At 42.5% G+C, this 19040-nt stretch overlaps 1 protein-coding gene and 1 pseudogene across 28 annotated transcripts in view; one reads left to right on the forward strand and one right to left on the reverse strand.

Moving 5' to 3' along the window:
• Window positions 1–19040, reverse strand: part of STAU1 (staufen double-stranded RNA binding protein 1) — a 105957-nt gene that overhangs the window by 15789 nt on the left and 71128 nt on the right. For all 28 annotated transcript variants that reach the window (NM_001319135.2, NM_017454.4, NM_001322927.2 and 25 more), the window contains one exon: window positions 6706–6804. In NM_001319135.2, the coding sequence (NP_001306064.1) occupies window positions 6706–6804 (99 nt within the window). The remainder of the gene's footprint in view (window positions 1–6705; window positions 6805–19040) is intronic.
• On the forward strand, window positions 5324–6170 carry ARPC3P1 (actin related protein 2/3 complex subunit 3 pseudogene 1; annotated as a pseudogene).

A 19040-nucleotide genomic window follows, 5' to 3' on the forward strand; every position in this document is an offset into this window, starting at 1 on the left:
AACTGGCAAGATATAAACCTATATTTCATCAAAGAAAATAGTAAAATAAAAACACGAAAAGAAGCTCAGTATTGCTAGTCTTCATGGAGATATATAAATTAAAACCACAACAAGATACTACTGACTACCTGCTAGAATGACTTTAAAAAAAAATTTTTTTTTTTTTTTTTTTTTTTTTGAGACGGAGTCTCACTCTGTCACCCAGGGTGGAACGCAGTGGCGCGATCTTGGCTCACTGCAACCTCTGCCTCCTGGGTTCAAGCGTTTCTCCTCCCTCAGCCCCCTGAGTACCTGGGACTACAGGTGCACACAACCATGCCCACCTAATTTTTGTATTTTTAGTAGAGAAGGGGTTACGCTATGTTGGCCAGGCTGGAATAACTAAAATTTTAAAAGCTGACAATACCCAAGTGTTGGAGAGGATGTAGAGCAACTAAGCCTCTCTCATATATTGCAGGTGAAATGCACAATGATACATCTGGTTTAGAAAACAGTTTGGCAACTTTTTTTTTTTTTTTTTTTTTTTTGAGACAGTCTCGCCCTGTCGCCCAGGTTGGAGTGCAGTAGCATGATCTCGGCTCACTGCAACCTCTGACTCCCAGGTTCAAGCGATTCTCATGCCTCAGTCTAATGAGTAGCTGGGATTACAGGCACATGCCTGGCTAATTTTTTGTATTTTTAGTAGAGACGAGGTTTCACCATGTTGGCCAGGCTGGTCTCTAACTCCTGACCTCAAGTGATCCGCCCACCTTGGTTTCCTGAAGTGTTGGGATTACAGGCATGAGCCCATGAGCCCAGCCAACTTCTTATAAAGTTATTTATTTATCATGCAACTCAGCAAATCCACTCAAGTATTTATTCAAGAAAAATGAAAACATGTCTCCACAGATGTATATAAATGTTTACAGTAGATTTATTAATAATCACCAAAAACTCACAACAATACAAATCTTCAACTGGTAAATAGATACACTGTAGTGTGTACACACTATGTAACACTCTTGGTGATAAAAAGGAACAAACTACTGAAACACACAACAGCATGAATAATGACTCCAAGCTAAGTTAAAGAAGTCAGACAAAAGGCAATATACTCTATTTTCCATTTATGTAATATTCTTAAAAAGGCAACACTATAGGGACAGAATGAGATCAATGCTTGCCAGAGCCTGAGGACAGAGGGGAGAGACTGACTGCAAAGGGACACAGGGAACTTTACTGGGTGGGAGATGTTCTGTTTTGACTATGGTGCTGGTTACAGAACCATATACACTTATCAAAACACATCGAACTGTGCACTTACACAGGGTGACTTTCACTGTAAATTATACCTCAAGAAGCCTGACCACCCCTTCATCCAAAAAATAACTGATGGGGGCATGTTAAAGGGCACAAGGGCCAATTTAAAGGACAATTTGGACATCAAAATGGGTGACGATAACAATGGAGTAATACTTTGGGTTTAAAAAAAAGCAGCAATGCATCTATACCGATATAATTACTATAAGAGGGGAGGAAGGAAACTTTTTCTTTACTGTAGAATGCCAGCTTGGAAATGCCAAAAATCATAATTTTGACATCTACCACAGTGATAATCAATGCCAGCAAGAATCATCAAGATCCCTGAGGGGTGGGTGTGGTGGCTCACGCCTGTAATCCCAGCACTCTGGGAGGCCAAGGTGCATGCCTAATCCTAGCTACTTGGGAGGCTGAGGCAGGAGAATCATTTGAACCCGGGAGCCAGAGGTTGCAGTGAGCTGAGATCACATCACTGCACCCCAGCCTGGGCAACAGAGCGAGACTCCGTCTCAAAAAAAAAAAAAAGATTGCTGGAACCACCGGGGAGACCTGTGAAGGCCCAGCCTTCAAACATCTCCTCAGAGGTTAGGAGTTAATTACAAAGTGACATGAAATGATGCTCTGAGAAGGATCAATATCACTCCCATGGTGATCCTGCCAAAAAACACATAACCAGACCTAATCATAAGTAATCCATCAGAAATACCCAAATTGAGGGCCACTGTACAAAAATAACTGACCTTTAAACATGTCAATGTCATGAAACACAGAGAAAGGCTGAGAATGTACTGCAGATACTAAAGATACTGCAGAGACTAAAGAGAAAGGTCAGCTAAATGTAAGGTGTGAGTCTGCATCAGACACTAGAGCGGAAGAAACATTTCTATAAAGGACATCATTGAGACAACTGGTGAAATGTGAATGTAGGATGTGTATTAGGTAACAGTACTATAGCAATGCTAAATTTCCTCTACTTAATAGATTGTGGTTATTTAAGAGAATGTCCTTGCTCTTAAGAGATACATGCTGAAATATTAGGAGTTAAAGGGTATGATATCTACCACTTTCTGTCAAATAATCCAGCAAAGTAAAAAACAGAAAATAATATGTATATTTATGGAAAAAGAAAAAGCAGGCTGGGTGCAGTGGCTCACACCTGTAATCCCAGCACTTTGGGAGGCCAAGGCAGGCAGATCGCTTGAGGTCAGGAGTTCAAGACCAGCCTGGCCAACATGGTGAAATCCCATCTCTACTAAAAATACAAAAATTAGCCGAGTGTGGTGGCGTGCACCTGTAATCCCAGCTACTCAGGAGGCTGAGGCAGGAGAATTGCTTGAATCCAGGAGGCAGAGGTTGCAGTGAGCCGAGATCATGCCACTGTTCTCTAGCCTGGGCAACAGAGTTAGGCTCCGTCACAAAAAAAAAAAAAACAAAAGGAAGGAAGGAGCAAGCAAATATGGTAAAATGTTAACCACTGGTTAATCTAAGTGAAAGTTATATTCATTGTCCTATTCTTGTAACTTTTAGATAGATTTGAAATTTTTGAAGTAAAAAATTGAAAAAATGTCTAGGTAAGAAAAGTGAGCCTCCAAAATGGATGCACTCTTTTTTTTTTTGGTGTAGGGGAAGGAGGTAGCGGAGAATGGGGGGTAGGAATTCAGCACAGTGGCCAGGAGCAGAGGTGTGGGAAGGACCTGGCCTGCTTAGGCACCCGTGGACTGATTTTAAAGAACTCCCATAGGTGCCGCCCACACCCAAGGGCAGAGATTCTGAAACACTTCTTCCCACAACAGTGCTTTCCCTGTCCTCAGGTTAGACTTTGGAGGGACAGGTCAGCCACCCTGATGGCTCACTTCAAATGCACAGCCCACCCTGGCCCTCTCCAACGGCTTGCATTGTCTGCCCACATCAAGATCCCCCCAATCTAAATCTGGAGGATCACCTGGATTGCATGTGGTGTGAGCATGTCACAATTGTCTCCCGATGACCGTATCCATCAGCACCATCACATTTTCTAACTAAAACTGTATGTTTTATCAGAAGTCAAACTGGCTGGGCACGGTGGCTCATGCCTATAATCCCATCACTTTAGGAGATCAAGGTGAGTGGATCACCTGAGGTCAGGAGTTCAAGACCAGACTGGCTAACGTGGTGAAACCCTGTCTCTACTAAAAATACAAAAATTAGTGAGGCATGGTGGTGTGCACCTGTAATCCCAGCTACTCAGGGGGCTGAGGCAGGAGAATTGCTTGAAGCCAGGAGGTGGAGGTTGCCATAAGCTGAGATCGTGCCATTGTACTCCAGCCTGCGCAACAAGAGCAAAACTCCATCTCCAAAACAAAACAAAACAAAACAAAAGTCAAGCTGTATATATTTTTCCAAAAAACTGTTCCTGTCTTCCCCTATTAAAACACCTAACGAAGCTTCCTATGTGACAGATTTAATTACCAAAAACTTAATCAAAAATTATTCTGTTCATTTATTCAGTAACTATTTCCTAAACATCTAATACATGCCAGGCAACCTTCCAGCGGCAAAAGAAAGGAAAGACCTTGCTCAACATAATAATGCAAGCTAGTAAAAAATTCCTGATATTTGAGTTAATGAATATAAGCACTCACGCCACCAACTACATGCAAGCTGTGATAAATTACTTTAAAAGATCACCACGAGAGGGCACTCCTACAATTCTTTTATGTGACTACTGTCAAGATTCCTGAACACAGAGTTGAGAGCCAGATCTGAAACCTTAACAAAAGTGAAGGAGGAAAGGAAGCAATCTGACCCCAAATCCCACAGAACAAAAACATAAAATAGCAATCTCTAAGTTTCCAGAAATCTCAGTGACTCTGGGTAGCAGCAAGAGTGAGCAGGTGGTAAGCTTCTCAGGAATCCAAGGCTCTGGCCCAAGCCGTCAACTCTGCACATGAGGTGACCCGGGAAGCCAGCCAGGCATCTCCCACTCCCCACGGTCTTGGTACCCCTCCCCCACAACCTGCAAAAATCCACTCTCATGACAGACTAATCTGTCAGCAGGGGAGAAAAGCAACACTTCTCCCCTTTCCTGAAACAGGTGCCGGGGGAGACCTCATGACTCCTTGGGATGCAGCTCCCATCTTTTTCCCACTCAACTGTGAGCCCAAACAGCCATTCTGAATGTCCCCTGTCTCATTCCCTCCCCAAGTGCATCCCAGCCTCCACTGATGGAGGGAGAAAGGCCAGGGAGGGAATGTAGGGCCAGGTGAGAAGATTCCAGCCCTAGATCCATGTCGGTGCTCTGGACTCCAAGAGAACAGTGTAAACCTGCTCTTACCCACTGAGGGTGGAGGGGCAGGAATGAGTGTCAGAGGAATGGAGAGGAACAAACAAGCCCTCGTACCCAGGTGGGCCACAGTAGGGAGCCCTGGCAACTACAATCCCACCTCTGGCCCATGGCAGGCAGAGAGGCATCAGCAGGGTGAGGTGAGAAATCATCATCACTCGGCCAAAGGATGGAGCACTGAAGCTGGGTTAAGTTTAGGGTGCTAGCACATAGGAGGAGAAGGTATACATCACCTGTAACTGTAAAGAATACTTCAAAGATATTTTACAGGAATATAAGCTTCAGATAGGCTTTTTAAGAAATAAGCCATAATCAAGCACGTAAATCAAAAGAATCTGCAAAGAATCTGCTGTGGGTCAGACCTTATTTCTAAGGTAAACATTAAAAATTCTCCCTTACTGGGCCGGGCAAGGTGGCTCACGCCTGTAATCCCAGCACTTTGGGAGGCCGAGATGGGTGGATCACCTGAGGTTAGGAGTTCGAGACCAGCCTGACCAATATGGAGAAACCCCGTTTCTACTAAAAATACAAAATTAGCTCGGCATGGTGGCGTATGCCTGTAATCCCAGCTACTCAGGAGGCTGAGGCAGGAGAATCGCTTGAATCTGGGAGGTGGAGGTTGCAGTGAGCCGAGAACACACCATTGCACTACAGCCTGGGCGACAAGAGTGAAACTCATCTCAGGGAAAAAAAAAAAAAAAGCTCTGGGTTGAAACCCGGGCGCCGCCAAGATGCCGGCTCATTACTCTTCTCTCATGGATCCTGACACCAAACTCATCGGAAACATAGCACTGTTACCTATCAGAAGTCAATTCAAAGGACCTGCCCCCAGAGAGACAAAAGATACAGATATTGTGGATGAAGCCAACTATTACTTCAAGGCCAATGTCTTCTTCAAAAACTATGAAATTAAGAATGAAGCTGATAGGACCTTGATATATTTAACTCTCTACATTTCTGAATGTCTGAAAAAACTCCAAAAGTGCAATTCCAAAAGTCAAGGTGAGAAAGAAATGTATACACTGGGAATCATTAGTTTTCCCATTCCTGGAGAGCCTGGTTTTCCACTTCACGCAATTTATACCAAACCTGCAAACAAACAGGAAGATGAAGTGATGAGAGCCTATTTACAACAGCTAAGGCAAGAGACTGGACTGAGACTTTGTGAGGAAGTTTTCGACCCTAAGAATGATAAACCCAGCACGTGGTGGACTTGCTTTGTGAAGAGACAGTTCATGAACAAGAGTCTTTCAGGACCTGGACAGCGAAGGGAGCCCGGGCAGCCGCCATCTCCAGAGCCCTGGGCAGCATTTTCCAGCAAGATGTACACAATCTTTTGCCTTTATTCGTAACGTTTTATATAGAAGAGAGAAGAGCATGTCTTTACTTGAAAAACTCTTGATCAAGAATTTGGGTGGGAGAAAAGAAAGTGGGTTATCAAGGGTGATGTGAAATTTTCTGCAGCATTAAGCTGGCGCTTAATAAAAATAAGTAACAAAAAAAATTCTCCCTTACCTCCCTCGTCCATTTGGATGAACTATATGTCTTTTAAGGCAACATATATTAAAATGTACCTTATTTCCCACTTTGATCAGACAATTCATTGATTATTGTTTTTAGAACACAAGGTCTCAACAACAAATGAAGTTATTAAACAGGAATTGAGGGCAGACGCTAGACAATGACAAAAACTGAGTCCTTTTCAAAATTACTCTGAAGAGACCTTTAGGGACCACAAATGCTTTTGAGACTGATCTAAGTGATGAACTAGCCCCTCCACCCTTCCCTATCCAGAAGAATACACATATGAACACTAACACAACCATCTTCAGACTGCTTCAGGAGGTCCACACACCAACTGAAGCCATCATGAACTCTCTACACATCCATGAATGCCCCTTAGTTACGGACTCCCAGAAGAAGAGAATAAACACTGCTTCACTAAATATAAAGTATGAATCTTAAATTTGGAGGTTCACATTATGTGAAGATTATTCCAATGATATTTAGGGGAAAAAATAACTCTTATGATGAATGCTAACAGGATTTTAGAATACAAAGTCCTACATGTAAAATTAGCTTACCTCGAAATTCACAGGCAAGTTCCGTTTAAGTGCAATCTCAAACACTTGACTTATTTCAGATTTATTGAGATTTTCTTCTTCGGATTCTCTTCCATTCACCTGTAAGAATAATTGTTTAGTAGTTAGCTCTTATTAAAATAGTCAATGGCCAGGTGAGTTGGTTCATGCTTGTAATCCCAGCACTTTGAAGGCTAAGGCAGGAGGATAGCTTGAGCCCAGGAGTCTGAGACCAGCCTGAGCAACATGGCAGTTTGAGACCAGCCTGAGCAACCTTGTCTCTAAAACAAAAACAAAAACAAAAACAAAAAAACAAAACTTAGGTGGATGTGGTGGTGGTACATGCCTGTAGTTCCAACTACTTGGAGGGCTGAGGCAGGAGCATTGCTTGAGCCCAGGAGATCGAGGCTGCAGTAAGCCATGATCATGCGCCACTGCACTCCAGCCTGGGTGACACAGCGAGACGCTGTCCCCCACAAAAAAACACCCATCAACATCCTAGCTGCAATGGTAAACCTTAAAAGCACTGAGCTTTGGCTTTATGAATTTAACCACACACATACCAAGTGTCACTGAATTTAAGAGGTTAAAAAGATACATGTCCTGTCAAGTTTGAGTCAAATTGTACCTCATAAGTTCACCAAAAACAATCCGCACATAATAGACCTTTGGATATGTGTCAGCCTGACTGTGGTTCAGCAAGATGTCACTGCTGCTCGGAACAGTGACTTCCAAAAGTCCTTCTCAAGTAGTGGGAAGCCACATTTTGGAAAAGTCAAAATACAGACAGATATATGTGGGACGTGGCAAATTCAGATTAAGTCTGTCCACATGAGTATGCAGGCTTATTTGAACATAAATTCCCTGGAAACCACTTTTTTTTTTTGAGATGGAGTCTCGCTCTGTTGCCCAGGATGGAGTGCAGTGGCGCGATTTTGGCTCACTGCTACCTCCACCTCCCAGGTTCAAGCGATTCTCCTGCCTCAGCCTCCTGAGTAGCTGGGATTGCAGGCATGCGCCACCACACCCAGCTAATTTTTGTATTTTTAGTAGATACGGGGTTTCACCATGTTGGTCAGGCTGGTCTCGAACTCCTGACCTCATGATCCACCCACCTCGGCTCCCAAAGTGCTGGGATTAAGGCGTGAGCCACCACGCCCGGCGGGAAACCACTTTAAGAGAATGCAGCCATGCGCATGGCAGTACACGACTATTGCCCCAGTACTCAGCAAGGTGACAGTTGAGGATCAGTTGAGCCCAATAGTTCAAGGCTACAGTGAGCTGTGATCATGCCTGTAAACAGCCACTGAACTCCAGCATGGGCAACAAAGACTCTCTATCTCTATAATTAAAAATAAAGAAATAAATAAGGATGCGATGAAACACATTACAAAACTGCCATGTATCTCATACTCAACGGCTGTTGGCAAAAAAATACAAGGCGCAAACTAATAAAGTCTCCTCAACAAAGGCAGAGATTCCATCTTTGGAACAAGGTTCACTTAAGAGTCGTCCAATCAGGGATGAGATTAAAGAGGAGCAAGGATCTTACTTCTGCGTGCTGATAACATGGATTTTATACTGTGCTGTAGTGATAATAAGAGGAACTAGATAAGCTCAAAGCTTATCTAGCAAAGTCCCCCAAAACAAAAAGAGCTGTTTTTCTTCACATTATTGCTTATTTTGTCAAAGAATTTATAAAGTCCTGCTTCTGAGATTAGAACTATCTGAAAAGGAACCCATGGCTGAAACTGCTAAATAGGCAAGGTATAGGACTATCCAAGATTTTATCTGTTGTGCATTTCCTTATGTTTATCAGGTATATTCCACCTACACTCAACTTTTTTTTTTTTGAGATGGAGTTTTGCTCGTGTCGCCCAGGCTGGAGTCCAATGGCATGACCTTGGATCACTGCAACGTCTGCCTCCTGGGTTCAAGCGATTCTCCTGCCTCAGCCTCCCAAGTAGGTGGGATTACAGGCACCCACCACCACACCCGGCTAATTTTTTTTTTTTTTTTTTTGTATCTTTAGCACAGATGGGGTTTCACCATCTTGGCCAGGCTATTCTCGAACTCCTGACTTCAGGTGATCCGCCCACCTTGGCCTCCTGAAGTGCTGGGATTACAGACATGAGCCACCGTGTCTGGCCACTGAATATTAAAAGCTGTAATTGGCTGGGCATGGTGGCTAGCGCCTGTGATCCCAAAACTTTTTAAGGACAAGGTGGGTGGATTGCTTATGCCCAGTTTGAGACCAGCGTGGGCAACATGGCAAAACCCCATCTTTATAAAAAAAATACAAATATTAGCAGGTGCGGTGTCGCACATCTGTGGTCCCAGCTACTTGGGAGGCTGAGGGGAGAGGATCACCTGAGCCTAGGGTGTTGAGGCTGAGGTGGCTATGATCACGCCACTGCATTCTAGCCTCAGTGACAGTGTGAGACCGTGTCACACCCACCAAAAAAAGCTATAATTAAAATAAAACAAACTCTAGGTTAAAAAAATATATATATAACCAAGGGTATAATCCTGGACAAATAAATTTATTCCAGATGCTCTTTGTAATTCCTTCTATCCTTCCATAATCTTTTCTTTCCAATCTGGTTTCAGTGTATCTCACCTGAGTCAAAACTACTTTCATAGCACTTGTGGTGGTTTATTAACCTACACATACTTTTTTTTGTTTTTTGGAGACAGTGTCTCACACTGTTGCCCAGTCTGAAGGACAGTGGTACAAACATAGCTCACTGCAGCTTCAAACTCCTGACCTCAAGCAATATTCCCATCTCACCCTCCTGAGTAGCTGGGACTACTGGCATAGGCACCACTCCCAGCTATTTTTTTTAATGTTTTGTAGAGATGGGGTCTCACTATGTTGTCCAGGCTGGTCTTGAACTGGGCTCAAGCAACCCTCCCACCTCAACCTCCCAAAGTGTTGGGATTTATAGGTGTGAGCCACCATACCCAGCCCACACTTGTATTTTTGTTTAAATCCTAAGCAGAAAAAGGGTCTACTTTTTTATGAGTGAATCCTTAAAACTGGCAATTTGCAAGCAAGGTACCTTAAAGGCTGGAGTTCTACAGAGGTTTGGCTTGAAATTTACAGGTTGGTGCAAAAGTAATTACCAATCTAATAGTTAAATAGATATTAAACTTAAAAAAAAAATACTGTAAGCTTGTTCAACAAATGGTGCTAGGAAAACTAGATATCCACATGCAAAATAATAAGGCAGGACCCTTACCCCACACCACTAAAAACTCAAAATGGATCAAATACTTAAACATAAGAGCTAAAACAGTAAAGTTCCTAGATGAAAACATAGGGGAAAAGTGTTATGACACCATCTGGTGATTTCTTACATATGACATGAAAACCGCAGACAACAAAAGAAACATTAATATTAGACTTCATCAAAATTTAAAACATTCATGCATCAAAGGACACTATCAAGAGAGTGAAGAAAACCCACAGAATGGGATTTGCAAATCATTTATCTCATAAGGGATTAATATCCAGAATATATAAAGAACTACAACTCAACAATAAAACAACCCAATTAGAAAATGGGCAAAGCACTTACACAGGCATTTCTCTAAAGAAATACAAATAGTCGGCTGGGCACAGTGGCTCATGCCCGTAATCCCAGCACTTTGGGAGGCCGAAGCAGGTGGGTCACCTGAGGTCAGAGGTTCGAGACCAGCCTGGCCAACATGGTGAAATACCATCTCCACTAAAAATACAAAAAACTAGCCGGGTGTGGTAGCAGACGTCTGTAATCCCAGCTACTTGGGAGGCTGAGGCAGGAGAATCACTTGAACCCAGGAGGCAGAGATTGCAGTGAGCTGAGATTATGCCACTGCACTCCAGCTTGGGCAACAAGAGCGAAACTCTGTTTCAAAAAAAAAAAAATCCACAGTAAGATACCACTCACACCCATAAGGATGGCTGCTATCAAAAGAAATGGAAATAACAAGTTTTTGGATATGGAGAAATGAGAAGCTTCCAGTCACTTATGAAAATGTAAAATGGTTGTACCAGATTTGGATTTTATTAAAAATAAAATAGAAAATGGGCAGTGCGTGCGGTGGCTCACACCTGTAATCCCAGCACTTTGGGAGGCCGAGGCAGGCGGATCACCTGAGGTCAGGAGTTCGAGACCAGCCTGGCCAACATGGTGAAACACCATCTCTACTAAAAATACAAAAATTAGCTGAGCGTGGTGACGCGCACCTGTAGTCCCAGCTACTCGGGAGGCTGAGGCAGGAGAATCGCTTGAACCCAGGAGGCGGAGGTTGCAGTGAGCCGAGATCACGCCACTGCATTCCAGTCCAGTGAGACTCCGTCTCAAAAAAAAAAAAAGTAAGTTAATTAATTTAATAGAAAATGTAAAATGGTACAGTTGCTATGGAAAACAGCTTGGTAGTTCCTCAAAAAATTAAACATATAATTATTATATGATCCAGGAATTCCACTTCTAGATATACACCCAAAAGACCTGAAAGTAGCAACTTGAACACATTTTTATACACCAGGGTTCACAGCAGCATTCACAATAGCCAGAAGGTAAAAACAACCCAAATGTCCATCAACAGATGACTGGAAAAACAAATATTTACTATTCATACCATAAAACATTCACCCTTAAAAAAGAAATGAAATTCTGAAACATGCTATAACAGAGACGAACCTTGAAAACATTACAGTAAGTAACATAAGCCACACATTAAAAAAAAAATCCATTTTTATGAAGTGCCTAGGCTAGGCAAATGCATAGAAACAGAAAGTAAAGTAGAGGTTACCAAGGGCCACGAGCAAGGGAGTGGGGAGTAACTCTTCAATGAGTCCAGAATTTCTATTTGGAATGATGGAAAGGTTCTGAAAATTAGTAGTGACAGTTGTGCAAAACCAAGAATGTATTTTAATGCCACTGGTGCACTTAAAAATGTTTAATAATTTTAGATGTATATTTTGCCTGAATTTTTTAAAAAGCAGCAACAAAAATGTTTCACACCAAATATTAAGATACCAGAAATCATCAACACAGTAACTTGTGCTAACCCCAGATTAACTCATTTTTGTGCACAACAGAATAAAGCTTGACAGCTGTTTCCCTGAAGAGCATCCAGAGTTTTTTTTAATAGATGATCTGTTTAAAAAAAAAAAAAAAAAGGTCCACATGCTAAGAACTGTGCCAATGAGAATGCTCTTTATGAGCAGCCAGAACACAACTTGGAAATAAACTAGGTGCTCAGACTGTCGTAAGACTTTGAATGCCACGTACATGCCCCAATTTTCAATGTTTTGTTCATTGTATCAGCCCAATTAGGTTTAACTTTTATTTTTATTTACAACCTATTTCAAACATACAGAAAAGTACAGATAATAACATAACAGGCAATTTCCTGGATTTATCCAATGTCAATAGTTAAGTACTACTGACGTCGGACTGTTTTTTTCTGTTTTAAGAAAAACAATGAGCCACGCATGGTGGCTCACGCCTGTAGTCCCAACACTTCTGGAGGCTGAGATGGATGGTTTGTTTGAAGTCAGGAGTTCAAGATCAGTCTAGGCAACAAAGTGAGACCTTAATCTCTACAAAAAAATTTTAAGATTACCCAGGTGCAGTGGAGTGTGCCTATAGTCCCAGCTACTGGGGTGGCTGAAGCAAAAAGATCACTTGATTGATTGCCCAGGAGTTTAAGGCTGCAGTGAGCTATGATCGTGCCACTGCACTCCAGCCTGGGTGGCAGAGCAAGACTCCATCTCAAAACACAAGGCAACGGGCCAGGCGAGGTGGCTCATGCCTGTAATCCCAGCACTCTGGAAGGCCAAGGCAGGCGGATCACTTGAGGTCAGGAGTTCGAGACCAGCCTGGCCAACATGACGAAACCCCATCTCTACTAAAAATACAGAAAGTAGCCGGGTGAGACTCTGTCTCAAAAAAAGAGGCAATGAAGGCCATCTCACTATCATTCCCAGGGCAGTTAATCACTATCCTAAAGTGGGACTGTATCTTTCCCAGCCGTGTTTTTAAATGAATATAATTTGGTGTTTTTGAAAACTCATATACCTCATTCTCAGAAATTGCCTTTACCATTATTATAAATCCAAACTTATAAGTTTATACTAATAACTGTAATTCCAGCACTTTGGGAGGTCAAGGCGGGAGGGTCACTTGAGGCCTGGAGTTTGAGACCAGCCTGGGCAACATAATAAGACCTCATCTCAACAAGAACAACAACAACAACAAATATTTATTTTTTATTTTGTTTTTGAGATGAAGTCTCGCTCTGTTGCCCAGACTGGAGTGCAGTGGTGCAATCTTGGCTCACTGCAACCTCCGCCTCCTGGGTTCCAGTGATTCTCCTGCCTCAGCCTCCCAAGGAGCTGGGACTACAGGCACAAGCCACCATGCCTGGCTAATTTTTTGTATTTTTAGTAGAGATGGGGTTTCGTCATGCTGGCCAGGCTGATCTCGAACTCCTGACCTCAGGTGATCCACCCACCTCGGCCTCCCAAAGTGCTGGAATTACAGGCGTGAGCCACCGTGCCCAGCCAAAAAAAAATTTTTTTAAATAACAATTTATACTAACGAAATGCTCCTTTTCTATTTTATATACATGTATCAAGGTTCCACGTAAGACTGATAGAAAACAATGGGTCTACTGCTCCGTTCTACACCCTAAGCCAGTGGTTCTCAACCACAGCAGCACTACAATCACTTGGGAGCTTCACAAGTTCAGATTCTGGAGCCCGCTCCAGACAACTGAACTCAAATTTTTGAGGGCATGGCCTGGATAGCAGTTTTATTTATAGTATTTGTTTATTTTTTAAATAAGTCCCCAGGTGACTGGAGTTGCGATTCACTGCTCTAAGCCATTGCTTCCAGAGGAGTATCATTAGGAACAAAGCAGCCAGTAAAATAAAAATGCAAAAAAACATATTTGAAAATGAAATTATTTTGCTCTTTTACACAATTTTTTTCTTTTGAGACAGGGCCTCAGCTCTGTGCCCTCAGCTGCAGTGCAATGGCATAATCAGAGCTCACTGCGGCCTTGATCTCCCAGGCTCAAGCAATTCTCCTGCCTCAGCCTCCTCATTAGCTGAGACTACAGGTACATGCCACCATTTCGTTTTTTCAAATATTTTTGGTAGAGATGAGGTCTCTCCATCTTGTCCAGGATGGTCTCAAACTCCTAGGCTCAAGTGATCCTCCCACCTCAGCCTCCCAAAGTACTGGAATTATAGGAGTGAGCCACCGTGCCTGGCTCATTAAAAATTTCCTATTATCCAGACTGACAAAATGTTCCAAGTAGGGAGGCAGCAAATGGTTCAAAACTAATCTACAAAAACCATTCCCAGTAAAATGAGGAAGGTTTAGTGGGCACTTAGTCTTATCTTCACAATGTAGGAATTACTGTTAACACTGATTCCATAGTGTATAGTTCAGCAATAAAATCTAGGCAACATTAAGAAAGAGGCCAGGTGTGATAGCTCATCCCTATAATCTCTGCACTTTGAGAGGCCACGGTGGGCGGATCACTTGAGCCCAGGAGTTCAAAACCAGCCTGGGCAACATGGCAAAACCCGCATCTCTACAAAAAATACAAAAACTAGCCAGGTGTGGTGGCATACACCTGTAGTCCCAGCTACGAGGGAGACTGAGATGGGAAGATCACTTGAGGCCAAGAGGTCAAGGCTGTAGTAAGCCACAATCGTGCCACTGCACTCCAGCTAGGGCGACAGAGGAAGACCCTATTTCAAAACAAAACAAAACAACAGAAAAGAAAGAAATGCTCTGAACCACACTTAACCCTCACAGTATGCTAGGAAAATTAGCCATCACCATTTATTATCTGGCTCCAACAGACTCTTCTGTTTTTCTATATCTAAAGTCATTTTACAAATAATTTACCAAATAAAAGGATGACAAAAGCCATTTTATTAGACATTTTAATAAGAACTTAAACACAGCAAACCCAGCTTCTTATCCCAATGTTTCTAATTTGGAAGGCATATATACCTGAAAAAAAGCAAGGTCCTCTATATGCAACTAACTGCTCATCACCTGATGCACCTGCAGCTGGGGCACAGCCCACCTGTAGCGATGTCAGATTCCAAGTCCATCTCCAACAGGTTCTAACTTAACAGGACTTCAGATTCTTCGTGTACTGGCACTGTCAAACACACTACTTTTGAAACAGACTCATAATTCTGTTGAAGAGAAAGCAGCCATTTCCTTGCTCCATTAAGTGCAAAATGCTTTCATTTTTGGATTATAAACACCAACAGAAGGATCAATCCAGTTATTTTTGTCATTTTTATATCTATTTTCTTCCAATCACCTTTGGACACACACCTCCTTGTGCATTTGTCCAGTTATTTTGTTGACAATAAGTGGTAAGAAATAAATGTTGGCGGCCAAACATAAAAGATAAAAGAATGTTGTCACACGTACTTTTTTTTTTTTAAATGCAAACAGGATGGGAGAGGTTCTTGTCGAAAAATGTTGCATGATGAAGTCCTTTCTGTTGAATGACTAGATGAGAATATACCACATTTCCTTTCCATACATCAGATAAATAATCACTAGCTGATTCTTGAGTTTGGGGAAATTCATCTATGCTAGCATCTGAAGACTCACAGTCTGCGATTTTGCTTAGACAATCTCACCATCATCATTACAGTCTGGAGTGCTGCCATCTATCTGTCTTTTTGTGTTCATCTTCTGATTTGTTAATCATCAGAAATGTCTTCCTCTGTCAATTCTCTTCTCCTTGACATTACAGATGAAAAATAGAAAAATTCTGGATTCTCACCTGGGTTCAATGAAAGCAAAAAGGAGACTCAAAAGATGGTGTCTCTAGTCTTCTTTTTTTAACCTCTTGGAAGACAATGCAATAGCCTAGGCAAGGCCATAGGACAATAAAAGAAGGTGTCATCATGACAATTACTTCACTATTGTATATCCACCCCAGAGGCTTTATCATTCTTCCATTTTCTTATGATTTTCATCTCATCTGGCATATTTGGGAGTAGATGATGAATAGTATTGAAATAATTATGTGGAATAACAAATAGCAAAACGTTCAAAACACAGGAAAATTAAGATCCCTAAGATCCCATCATGTAAAGACTTACAAAAGGATCCAAAAGACCCCTATGATAATTGTAAGACAGAAAGAGTTTTGCACTATTTTAAAATATAAGTATACTTTCTCTCAGTTCTTTGTAATACCTCTAAAAAAGAATACAACTCATGCAATATCATTCCTTAAAGAGCTTGAAAAAGCAGCTTAAAAAATGAAAACCTGGCTGGGCGTGGTGGCTCACGCCTGTAATCCCAGCACTTTGGGAGGCTGAGGCGGGTGGATCACGAGGTCAGGAGTTCGAGATGAGCCTGGCCAACATGGTGAAACCCCATCTCTACTAAAAATACAAAAATTAGCCGGCGGTAGTGGCACGCACCTGTAGTCCCAGCTACTTGGGAGGCTGAGGCAGAAGAATTGCTTGAAGCTGGGAGGCGGAGGTTGCAGTGAGCCGAGATTACACCACTGCACTCCAGCCTGGGCAACAAAGCGAGACTCCGTCTCAAAAAAAAAAAAAAAAAAAAAAAAAAAGACCAAGCGTGGTGGCTCACGTCTGTAATCCCAGCACTTTGGGAGGCCGAGGCAGGTGGATCACAAGGTCAGGAGATTGAGACCATCCTGGCCAACATGGTGAAACCCCGTCTCTACTAAAAATACAAAATTAGCTGGGTGTGGTGGCACATGCCTGTAATCCCAGCTACTCGGGAGGCTATGGCAGGAGAATAGCTTGAATCAGGGAGTCGGAGGTTGCAGTGAGCCGAGATCGCACCACTGCACTGCAGCCTGGCAACAGAGCGAGACTCCGTCTTAAAAAAAAAAAAGAAAAGAAAACCTGAGCCAGGCACAAGCATGCCTGCAGTCCCAGATAATCAAGAGGCAAAAGGATCACTTGAATCCAGGACTTCAAGGCCACAGGGTACTATGATCATGTCTGTGTACAGCCACTGCACTCCAGCCTGGGCAACAATAGTGAGACCTGTCTCTGTTAGAAAAAAATAAAAAAGAAAAAGAAAACTAGGTCCAATGAACACTGAGGAAACAAGAAGGGTTAAAGTCTCCAATTTCAGGCCAGGCGCTATGGCTCATGCCAGTAATCCCAGCATTTTGGGAGGCCGAGGCAGGTGGTGGTCACTTGAGCTCAGGAGTTCGACACCAGCCTGGGAAACATGGTGAAACCTCGTCTCTACCAAAGATACAAAAATTAGGTGTGGTGGCATGCACCTGTGGTCCTAGCTACTTGGGAGGCTGAGGTGGAAGGACTGCTTGAGTCCAGGAGGCGGAGGTTGCAGTGAGCCAAAATCACACCACTACACTCCAGCCTGAGTGACAGAGTGAGACACCATCTCAAGAAAATAAATAAATAAACAAATGGGTCTCTAATTTTAACTTTACTCCTAATTAAGTATGCACCTATCCCAAGTGAAGATAAAGACTCAAAACCAGAAAGAGCTGCATTTATTCATTTTTACAAAAGTATAAAAAAGTATTTTAAAAACTTCAGGATGTTTACGGTGGCTCATGCCTGTAATCCCAGGATTCTGGGAGGCCAAGCTGGGCAGATCATTTAAGACTAGGAGTTTAAGACCAGCCAGGGCAACATGGCAAAACCCCATCTCTACAAAAAATACAAAAATTAACAGGGAGTGGTGGCATGAATCTATAGTCCCAGCTACTTAGGAGGCTGAGATGGGAGGATCACCTAAGCCCAGGGAGGTCAAGGCTGCAGTGAGCCTGCATGGAGGGCCTCCGCACTCCAGCCTGGGCAACAGAGTGAGACCCTATCTCCAAAAAAAAAAAAAGGAAAGAAAGAAACAAAAATACATACACACTGAAACACCAACAGGATCACACTGTATGCACAGTAACAGCTCTGCATCTTCATCCCTTTTCATGCCTGCCTATATGAGATATCTCACTCTGGTACTCAGGGGATAAACGTAGCCAAGTTTTTAACCACTTTCCTAGTAACAGACATTTAAGCTAGCCCCCGTTTTTCTCTATTACAGATACTGCAGCTATGACCATACTGCTCCTAATAGCTCAGACACTGAGTAAAACTCATACTTCATTAGCACAAACCTTAGATTAAATAAACAAATAACCCATGCACTTTCTTAACTTGGGGCCTTTGCAACTGCCACTCCCTCTCTGGGCATACACTGTCCCTGCCCTTTGCTGATCTTTAGTATCAGCCGAAATGTCTCTTCCTCTGAAAAGACTGCTCTGAACTCACCACCATTATTCCAACCTAAATGAGATACTTTACGTTCTTCTAATTCTTGTCATTTTTCCATCCTTGCACTAAATGCACTTTTTGCTGATATTAATGTTAATGTCTGGCAGCTCCATTTGACTAAGTTCACAGGAAAAGGGATGGCGCTGACTGTTTCAACTCAGGGTCTAGCACAGCGCCTGGCATGGAGGGCCCAGACTATGCCTGCCCTGTAGACAGCAAGCGCTGGCTTTACTGCATATCTTCTAGAGAAGATGCACTGATCCACCACACAATCACATGCTCCACAAATATGCCACAGCTAAACTGACAATTTGTTTAAAATGATCATTTCCAATGCTGGCAGGCTGTGGACAGACGGGCTGCTTATGGCCTGTCAGCAGGTTGTAAAATGGCACCCTCTTTCTGTGGAGAACTTGGCCATATGTACCACCATGCATACCCGCTGGTTCAGCAATTCCACTTCTAGGACCGTGGACAAAGACTTTAACTGCAACGATGTTCTTCCCGACCCATTTTATAAGAGGGAAAATGCAAACAACCTAAATAATCAAGTCCCTGTTGGAAAATAAAGCAGTGCATTCACATAGTGGAACATTTTGTAGCCATTAGAAAGTGCTTAGGTGTGTGCTGAATTTGGGTCCTCCAAGGAATTTTAAGTAAATGACGTAACATATTCAAGATATACACATCAGTGAAAAAAGGTGGTTACTGTACACTGTCATGCCATTTTTATGAAATAGATAGGCATCTGTATTTACTTGTATATGTGCTTGTCAGTGAATATACACCAAATGGTTACAGTGATTATCCGCAAGTGGTAAATTTATAAATCATTCATTGTTCCTTGTTTTTGAATTTAAAATTTTTTATAGTCCATATGCACTATTTTTAAGAAAAAAAAAGTTATCTTTTAAAACTGTCTCTCTTTATTCCCCTACTGCCTGCTATCAGAGAGCCTGGTAAAATCAAGGGCAGCACATTTACGAAAGAGGCCAAGTGTTTCACTTATTGC

The sequence above is a fragment of the Homo sapiens genome, chromosome 20 (assembly GCF_000001405.40).
Source record: "Homo sapiens chromosome 20, GRCh38.p14 Primary Assembly".
Lineage (NCBI taxonomy): Eukaryota > Metazoa > Chordata > Mammalia > Primates > Hominidae > Homo > Homo sapiens.